Source organism: Homo sapiens, chromosome 12, assembly GCF_000001405.40.
Source record: "Homo sapiens chromosome 12, GRCh38.p14 Primary Assembly".
Lineage (NCBI taxonomy): Eukaryota > Metazoa > Chordata > Mammalia > Primates > Hominidae > Homo > Homo sapiens.
The window spans coordinates 25,268,727-25,279,119 of record NC_000012.12 but is presented as its reverse complement, the minus strand read 5'-3'; the positions used below and the strand labels follow the sequence as shown (position 1 = coordinate 25,279,119).

Here is a 10,393-nt window from a genome sequence, read left to right as displayed (position 1 = left end):
TTCCCAGAGAGATGGTAGTGACTAAGTGGGCAGCCAGGGCTACCCGGTACTCCAATTTCCTATCTGCTTTAAACACTTACCTGGTTATACATATTAGCATTAACCATCATAGAAACTAATGTCTTACAATAGATGAAAAATAGCCAATTGATTCATTCAAATTGCATTTCATGACAAAGAATAATCTGACAAAGAATAATCTGTTAGTTTAATTAAGATTCTATATTGACACTTACTTAAACATATTAAATCTCAGTCACTGTTACTCATAGAAAAATAAATATTAACTTCTTGTAGAAATTTAAACACATTTTCCCACTGGTTAATATAATGAAGGCAAGACTTTCTCTAAACTAATGAGTGAGGATTTCTGCTATTATCGTCTAAAGAGGACTCTAATCATTGAATTTTTTAATTGGCTTCTCTACTAGAAGATTGGATTTTTACCTTGATGCAGAATATTACACAAATACAGTACAATTTTTTTAAAGTTTTCATGTGGTGTTTTAGGCTCGTTAAATAGCATTAATTTTTTTCTTTCTTTCTTTCTTTTTTTTTTTTTACTTTTATCCTTCAAGTTTTCTAGTTTTGATAATTGGTTCATACTTTCTTTTAGGGTCCATCCAATTTCACGTTCAAATGCTTACTCAGCAAATGATGCAGGTGGCTGTTCCACTGGTCTTGATGTGAGGCAGAGCGCTAAGAACCAGCAGATCGATGATGGGTCATGGCCCTAGCCTGAGTGGTGGTGTACCATCATGTAACTTCTTGGCACTTGATTTCCCTTATCTATCAAATAAGCGCCTTGAACAACTACATCCTAAAATTCTCCGAAATTGAGAAAGTCACTGAATTTTGAATATTCAAGTGACACATCTTCTAAACCAGTAAAACAGAAACACATACACTTGTTGTATGTGTAAAGCAATATATTTTTAGTCATGTTTGCGTTCTTGACACTTGAAGTTATACTTTGCATGGTAATTTCACTGCTGGAAAGATTTCAAAAAGGAAGCATTATCAATAAGGTAAAATTAATGTCTTAAAATGCTGTTAAGAAAAAGTGCATAGAAACCAGGAGTGAGCCAGAGTTATAAAACAGATAATACCTTATATTTGAAAAACAATCTTTTTCAAGGAATTATGATTTAAATTACAACTAAATTATATTTTAGTTAAGGAATTGAATAATCGAATAAGGTAATGTCTCTTCCTTATGTTCTTCCTAATTATTTGATCCTATAATGAAAAATTTCCAAAACACTGGATTTTTACAATAAAAGTGTATTTAAATAGCTATAACATAAATATTTCTACAGCAAACACCATATGTAAATCTCAGCCAGCATTTTATTTAATGCTGCTGAAAATTCCTCTAAATCAGCAATGAAAGATTAAGTCATGACCAGTAAAATTTTACTGTTTAGTATTTATTTATTTATTTATTTATTTATTTTTTGAGATGGAGTCTCACTCTGTTGCCCAGGCTAGAGTGCAGTGGCACGATCTCAGCTCACTGCAAGCTCCACCTCCCAGGTTCACGCCATTCTCCTGCCTCAGCCTCACGCCCGGCTAATTTTTTTGTATTTTTAGTAGAGACAGGGTTTCACTGTGTTAGCCAGGATGGTCTCGATCTCCTGATCTCGTGATCCGCCCGCCTCAGCCTCCCAAAGTGCTGGGATTACAGGCATGAGCCACTGCGCCTGGCCCTGTTTAGTATTTAGTGTAGACTGGAGCTAACATTTACCTAGGTACAATAATCCCCATGCATTGTATGCTATATTTCTTTAGATCCACACATCAAACCTATGAAGGAGTTACCATTATGTCCATTTTTTAAACAAAGAAGGACTGGCAAAAGAAAGTAATTAACTTAGGCATTTTGACATGGCAAGAAAGAGGGGCACCTGGGATTTGAACACGTATCTCTAACAAGAGTTTTCAAACTTTTTGTTAAGCTATGGAATCTTTTCCAATAGGAAAACCTTCTGTTCATATGAAAAGTATAAAACAGATAAACTCCTGGATGTTCTGCTTGTGTGGCTGGCTTTGCTGCTTCACTTCCCTCTCTGTCTCTGCCTCCCTCTGCCCTGCAATACCCCCCCATTTGAAAATGACTGCGTTTTGCCTTCATGCCGTCTTGTCCTAGTTTTTCTAAAATCAACAATCCTCATTTAGTGTACCAAACCATTCTCTATAAACAAGAATACTTGACAAACCAGAGTGACACATTTTTGTAAGATAACGTTTGTGAGGCTGTAGATATTATATAAGGTAGATATGGCTGTGGTGATGACAATGATAATGATGGTACAGTTTACTCTATGTAAACACTGCACATTTGTTTAGTTTCAAAGTTAAATAACAAACTATGTGCAGGCCTTTATGGCTCCTAGCCAGCTTCATTGCTCTCTTCTGAAACTGAAAAGCATCAGAGTGGTTTTTTGAGAGAGGTTCCCCGTTGTTGTTGTTGTTGTTGTTGTTTGCCCTGTCACCCTACTAATTAAACATGACCTGATGACCAATGGCCTATGATGAAGCCTGGCGCAAGAGGAGAGCCCTTTCTTCTGTCTTATAGGGTCTGAGTAGGAAACATCCAAGGAGGGGTCAGCATTGGGTAAATGCAGAAGTGGAGAGAGGGAAGACAGCCATGTAGCAAAGCCATGAGGCAGAGAGAAAGTGAGTGAGTACAGTCAGTAGCAATGGTTGGAAAAATAAGCAGGTACAGAGAAATGGAGACAGAAGAGCTGAGTCATGTGCATGGCAAGGAGCCAAGAGTTTGTGTGAGGTCACCAGGGGATAAGTTATACTACTAGATCAGAGCTATTACTCAGTTGTGGCTTAGTGACTATAGCGCAATTCTAGTCCTGTTAATGAGACCTTTATATATTTTTTTACTTCTCCACATTATATTCTTTATTTTATTTTATTTTATTTTTTTGAGATGGAGTTTCGCTCTTGTTGCCCAGGCTGGAGCGCAATGGTGTGATCTCGGCTCACTGCAACCTCCGCCTCCTGGGTTCAAACAATTCTCCTGCCTTAGCCTCCCAAGTAGCTGGGATTACAGGCATGCGCCAGCACGCCTAGCTAATTTTGTATTTTTAGTAGAGACGGGGTTTCTCCATGTTGGTCAGGCTGGACTCGAACTCCTGACCTCAGGTGACCTCAGGCCCGCCTTGGCCTCCCAAAGTGCTGGGATTACAGGCGTGAACTACCACGCCCGGTCATTATATCCTTCTTAATAAACCTGCATTAATTGAGCCAAGTGGTCATTTCTCTGTTCTTTGCACTCTGAAAGAATCAAATTAACACAATATTGAAAGAAGCTTGCACGGCACCTGGAACATAATGGGAGCTCCACAGAGTGTGCTTATCAGGATTTTAAAAGAGCTTCTATGAGCAAAAGCAGAAATTGCAGACTAACTCTCAAATCCAAGAGTCACAGTTGGTTTGGATTTTCAGTTTGGTAGCTTTTTCCCCTCTTGCTTTAAAGGTTTTTTAATTCTAAGAGAAAGCCCAAATTGGATAAATTTAGGTGTGGAAATAAAACACATGTTCTCATAATTTGGGAGAGATGGATGAATCTCTTGGGATATGGGGCTTCACAAAATATTTCAAATTATTTTTTAAATATTACGGGCTTGGCAAAAACAAAATGATTTTCTAAAAGAACTTGTCTTCTTAACATTCAAAAGGTCTCAAGGGAAATGTAATGTACATATTTCTGACTCATTTTACATAACTCAATATTGTTTAATAGGAATTGATTGATGTTTAAAAATTCAATAAATGTTTGAACTAAGAAGTATTGTTGGATGGTAAAACTGTCTTCTGAGAAAAAGGTTGAATTAGATGTTTTCTTAAAAGGGTCTCAGTGCTTGGCCTCAAACTTTACCAAGTATTTTTTCTTCCTTTGTATAAGAGAAAAAAGTAATTCTGAATAATCTCCCTTTTTTCCCAGTTACAAACAAAAAGACAGAAATTTGAATTCCAGAATATTAATATATTATTGAGCAACAGGGAAGAAACCAAACATATAATTAATTGGGGCATAAAAAGAGAAGAGAAAAGGAGAAACAGAGAGAGAGGGAAGAGAAAGAACTACTGAGATGTTAAAGGATTATATGTTGCTGAACTAAATGACATATAATCAACAACCCAAATTTCTCTGTGGAATGCAGTAAGTTTCAGAGCAACTTAGAGACCTCAGCTGGTATAAAATTCTACTTTCACTCTACTCTCCTAACACCCTGTTCTTCTCCCATTGTAATACTTATCAAACTTCATTGAAATTACTTCCTAATTGTCTGTCTGCCCTCTGCATTGTAAACTGTGTGAAGGTAGGGTTTGTGTCTGTCTTGTTCTCCACTATTCCCAGAGCCAGCTAACACCTAGCAGAATTGTTACCACCAATTCCTAGCTCAGAAGTATTTGTTGAATCAAACTTTATAACACAATCATGTGTAGAGGTTAAAAGCACAGGCTCTGAAATCAAACTCAGTATCAGCGTTGACATCTGTTTAGTGGATATGGTAACAGCACCTACCTCCTTGAGCTGTAGCGAGAATTATATGAGGAAATACGTGTACAGCACTAGGCATGGTGTTGGCATATTGTTGGCATACTGTTCCAAAACATGTTGCTCATAAAAATAATAATGAGGGCCAGGTACGGTAGCTCACGCCTGTAATCCCAGCACTTTGGGAGGCCGAGGCAGGTGGATCACCTGAGGTTGGGAATTCAAGACCAGCCTGACCAACGTGGAGAAACCCCGTCTCTACTAAAAATACAAAATTAGCCGGACGTGGTGGTACATGCCTGTAATCCCAGCTGCTTGGGAGGCTGAGGCAGGAGGATCACTTGAACCCAGGAGGCGGAGGTTGCAGTGAGCTGAGATGGTGCCATTGCACTCCAGCCTGGGCAACAAGAGTGAAACTCCATCGCAAAAAAAAAAAAATAAATAAAATAATAATAATAATAACAATAAGTATTTTCCCTGAACAATGAATCCAAGCATTTTTCTCTCAGCAAAATAAAGTTTTTACAAAAGTAAAATAAAAATTGATTTTTTTAACACACACATTGTGATTTAGTCATGCACATTTTATCAACATAGCCTGAAACATTACAGGTAATACTCTTAAAAATCTTTTTTAGGCCGGGCGCAGTGGCTCACACCTATAATCCTAGGACTTTGGGAGGCCAAGGTGGGCAGATCACGAGGTCAGGAGATCAAGACTATCCTGGCCAACATGGTGAAAACCCATCTCTACTAAAAACACAAAAATTAGCTGGGCATGGTGGTGCAAGTGTAGTCCCACTACTCAGGAGGCTGAGGCAGGAGAATTGCTTGAATCCGGGAGGTGGAGGTTGCAGCGAGCCGAGATTGTGCCACTGCACTCCAGCCTGGCCACAGAGCGAGACTCTGTCTCAAAAAAAAAAAAACAAAAAAAACTCTGTGTTTTCCCCCCAGCCGGCTCATTGGCCATTCTCCCCATTTGATCTTACTCATTTCTGGATGAATTCAGCTGGCTGTGGAGCAGCATGCTGGAGAATATGAAGGTTTGTGATTCTACATTCTTTCTGCCTAATAAGTACGTCAGTCATTTAAAAGAATGACTGTGATTTAACGGTTACATAGTCATTAATTCCTAGAGTAGGATTTTTCTTTTTTTAACACTGGCATGACTCTGATCCTAAACAGAGTATAATCAGGTCACTAAATGTGGCCACTGCCCAAGTGTCCCTTGGGCAGATGACACAGAGATTGAAAGTCCATAAATGACTGACCTGTACATCCAGGAATGACAACAGGCTTTAGCAGAACCCAGCAATACGGCTGGAGGGCAATAGGGAAGAGCTAACATTGACTGAACACTTACCCAATACAGATGTTTTATATATAGTATTTCTAATTCTGAAAACAAAACCTATGAAAACAAATCTATATTTCCCATTTCACAGATAAGAAAACTGAGGCTTAAATAGGTTGAGTCTTCTCTCAAAAGTTCACATAACTAAAATCACAGGACAGTATTGTTTTCACAATTTTTATGTAAATGTAAAACTGCTGTAAAATATAAAGCTTATTTTAAAAATAAAAATGTTTTCTTTGTAAATGGAAATTCTTAGAAGAAAAATTTGGTTAAAAAATGAATTTCTAAGGAGGCTGAGGCAGGAGAATCGCTTAAAACCCGGGAGGCGGAGGTTGCAGTGAGCCAAGATCACGCCATTGCACTCCAGTCTGCGCAACAGAGGGAGACTCTGTCTCAAAAAAAATAAATAAATAAAATAAAATAAATTTCTAAAACATAGAATCTGAAAAAAAAATCATTGGGCCTGAAATAAACCCAGTTCTTTTAAAAAATTTTAAAAATTTTAAATGGGGTCTTGGTCTATCACCAAGCCTGGAGTGCAGTGGCAAGATCTTGGGTCAATGCAGCCTCTAGCTCCTGGGCTCAATCAATCCTCCCACCTCAGCCTCCCAAGTAGCTCTGCGTACAGGCACATACCCATCATGCCCAGACAATTTTTGTAATTTTTTTTTTTTATAGAGATGAGGTCTCCCTATGTTAGCCCGGCTGGCCTCAAACTCTTGGGCTCAAGCAATTCTCCTGCCTAAGCCTCCAAAAATGTTGGGATTACAAGCATAAGCCACTGTGTCCAGCCCCCAGTTCTGTCTTAATCTTAATGCAAAGAGCCTATGCTTTGCTGCCTTTCTAGTGGGTGTAATGGGATTTATAAAAAGACAGAAACCATTACGCAGATGGGGTCTTTTATTTTGCTGGTAGGTTGCATACTTTTTAAGACCAGGGGTGTTGCCTATTTTGTTCACTGTTCTGTCTTTGCCACTCAACCCAATGCCTACCATAAAATAGTGCACAATAAATGTGTATTGAATGAATAAGTAAATGCCTCTTTCTCCTTGGATGCCCCTGGGAAATAGAATGGTAGGTATCATTAATTAATCAAATGTATTGTCAGGCATTGTCTTCATAAAGATCTTCAATCAGCACATAGTACAGAGGTTTACTGCTCTAGGGGCAGGACTGACCTTGTGATGGGCGAGTCATTGAGGAATGCTGCTGCGAGTGAGCCCCTGCATCTCACCCCCATGGCCCTTACACACACACACACACACACACACACACACACACATTAAAAATCTCCCATTCACTAGCCATTATCATCTAACTTGCATCACTTTAAAAATTGCTCTCAGTGAGTAGATGCTCATTTAAAGAAGGTAATAAGGAGAAACTCTCTTACTGGATAGTTAGGCTTAGAGGGAAGAAGAACTTGAATAAAAGGAGTTGTGACAGCTAAAAAAATCCCCAAAAACAACCTCCTGGTGCCCAGACAAGAAAAGCCAAGGAGTATCATGCTAGAAAGTAGGTCAGAGGAGTTTATGCACCAGTGGATGTCATGAGGCCTCAACCACAGCAACTGAGTTCTTCACTTGGTGGCTTCCTAGGCAAAACAGCTATACCCACTTCTGCCTGATTCCAAAGCTGGGCCGTGTGCAGCTCCATTATGGGATAGATGGTGGCAAACCGCTTGATGGTTCTACTCTTAGGCTCCCAATTCAGTAAGAGGAGGTACTTGTGTGCTCTGAGCATTTAACATGGTACCTGCACCAAGTAGGTGCTCAGTAAATATGTGTAGCTTGACTAAGTAAGACGTATTTTGTGTTAAGGATTTCATTCCTAATCGCTTTGAGGAAAAAAAATGGATACATGTAAGGGAACCCCCAAAATTGGCTGCTATAAAGATTACAAAGCCCTTTAAGAGTAATTCTTATTTCCCATTTCCTTTGCTTTTTCTTTCCATTTTTATAAGCCATGCGTTGTTTTATTATTTGAAAAGTAACAAACTTATTGTTAAAATTTTTTAATAATTAAAAACTTCATTTCACCACCCACCAAATTCATCATATTCATCCTTAGTAGTTTAATAAATAGCCTTCTAAACTTTTTCCATACACATGTGTAAATATTTCTCATTATAAAAATAGGATCATACAATTTTATAATCTATTATTTTCACTTAACAATATATTGAAAACACTTATAATAAATATACTTTTATATCACCATTCTCAATGGTCATATGGCATTCTTAGATGGCTATATACCATATTTTATACTAAAAATCCCTGGTGTCCTTTTTTGTTTGTTTGTTTGTTTGTTTTGCTAGTACGACTATGTTAAATATGTATCTTACTTGTTTTTAAACATTCAACAAGGCTTTACGGACAGCTGATTTTTTTTTCTTTCTTTTTCCGAGACGGAGTCTCACTCTGTCGTCCAGGCTAGAGTGCAGTGGTGTGATCTCAGCTCATGGCAACCTCTGCTTGAAGAGTTCAAGGGATTCTCCTGCCTCAGCCTCCCAAGTAGCTGGGACTGCAAGCATGTGCCACCACACCCAGCTAATTTTTGTATTTTTAGTAGAGACGGTGTTTCATCATGTTGGCCAGGCTGGTCTCGAACTTTTGACCTCAGGTCATCCACCCGCCTTGGCCTCCCAAAGTGCAGGGATTACAGCTGAATTTAACAGCAGAGAATAACGGTACAGAAAGCTTAAAACTGGATGCTGGAGCTGGTAACTCTCAGAGTCTACAGACCCAAGGCCCTATACATGGGTCCCCCAAGGGCCTAAAAGCCATTTCTCACCTTAGTCATAGCCTTCTGCCCCATTGCGGAGTTCCCTCATCCCCATCCCTGTTTTATTTATCTTTAGAATAGCCCTCTACTCTTTATTTTTTAGGAGAGCCTCACGGTCTATTGCTTAGCTCTGCCACCCTCTTCCCTTTACCTCCATTCCCAGCCAGAAGATGTAATCCTGGCAGGATAAGAGATTTTCCATTACTTTAAGACAAACATTTGCGTCTCTTAGAGTGGCCTACCTATTTACAACCAGCTCATTGACCTCTGCCTACCTCTTTTCAGCTTACACATTTAGGCAGTGCTATGGTTTGGATGTGGTTTGTCTGTTCCTGTGAAATCTCATATTAAAATATGATCCCCAGTGTGGCAATGTTGGGAGATGAAGCTTAGTGGGAGGTTTTTGAATCATGGGGGTGGACCCTCATGAACGGCTTGGTGCTGTTCTTAGGGTAGTGAGTGAGTGCTCACTCTCTTGAGATCAAACTGGTTCTCTGGGGGAATAGATTAGTTCTGCAAGAATGTGTTGCTATAAAGCCAGGACAACCCTCAGGTTTGGTCCCACTGACTCATGCCCACTTCCCCTTTTACCTTCTCTGTCATGCTTTGACCCAACACAAAAACCCTCAACAGAAGACAAGCAGATACTGGCATGCTTCTCGTATAGCCTACAGAACCATGAGCTAAACCTCTTTTCTTGATAAATTACCCAGCTTCAGGTCTTCCTTTCCAGTAACATCCAATGGACTAAGACAGGCAGTGAAAGGGAGTTTCCTGGTACTTCTCAAATTCCTCTTCTATGCCACCAGCCCCATCTCTGCTCAGTGAAGACACTGAGCCCATCTTGGACAGGCACAGGCCATGTCACCATGACCCTATGCCACTCCTTCTGCTTGCCACACCTAAGTCACCCCCAAAAGTCATTCTCTCTTTTCAGGTCCCACATTACCTATGAATGGGTCCCACAACAGTGTATTGTTATCTTTCTAACTCAAGGAATATTATAGACCACATCTCCATTGAATGCAGAGAAACAGTTATTCAATTCAACACATAGTTATTGACCACCAGGCACTAAGTAAGACTGGATTGGAACAGGGTCAGGGAGTAAAAACCTTGAGGGCACAAGAGCCATCAAAGCAAGGAAAACACCTGATCAAGAAGGTCTGAGAAAGGGAACACAACACTGAGCCTCTTACACTGCATGAAGGCAGGGACTTGTGTATGTGTGTTTGCTGTTATACTCCCAATACCTGATACAGTGACTGGTACCTAGTAGACATTCACTTAATATTTTATAAATGAATGAATGAACAAGATACAACTCTTGTCCTACAGAAGTGTATATTCTAGTAAAGTAAAGACAAAGGCAGTGCTCCCATAGGGATAAGCAAAATGGGAGCAAAGGTACCAGATCCAGCTTGAGGTGGTTTGAGAGGGCGGGGGACTGCAAAATTTGGTCTCCCCAGTTTGCCATAGGCTGCAGGAAGACTGGGAGGATGATAAATGAGAAATCAATGGTTCTACCTCCTAGCCAAATGTGTTGAGCTGAGTCAAACTTTTTATTCTCAGTCAGTTTGCTGCTAGTATATATCTAAGACCTTAGTTTTTCTTCACGACTAGCTTTTAATGTCTGTTTCCATTTTATTAGATATCATGGAGACCAAATACAAATTTCAACAAATAATTTTAGCATTAACCTCCCTTTTTATCATGGATGTAGACATTGT

General features: G+C 39.5%; 2 annotated features.

Moving 5' to 3' along the window:
• Positions 2,679–2,823: an enhancer, noted in NCBI's record as "145 bp enhancer 301/302 fragment used in the MPRA reporter construct; PK_construct_3400". NCBI's record gives its function as "activates an SV40 promoter by MPRA in HepG2 cells {active_cell/tissue: HepG2}" and the evidence as "EXISTENCE:reporter gene assay evidence [ECO:0000049][PMID:23512712]".
• Positions 2,746–2,756: a transcriptional cis regulatory region, noted in NCBI's record as "NFE2L2 motif; enhancer activity is reduced when this motif is scrambled". NCBI's record gives its function as "necessary for full MPRA enhancer 301/302 activity {active_cell/tissue: HepG2}" and the evidence as "EXISTENCE:site-directed mutagenesis evidence [ECO:0005528][PMID:23512712]".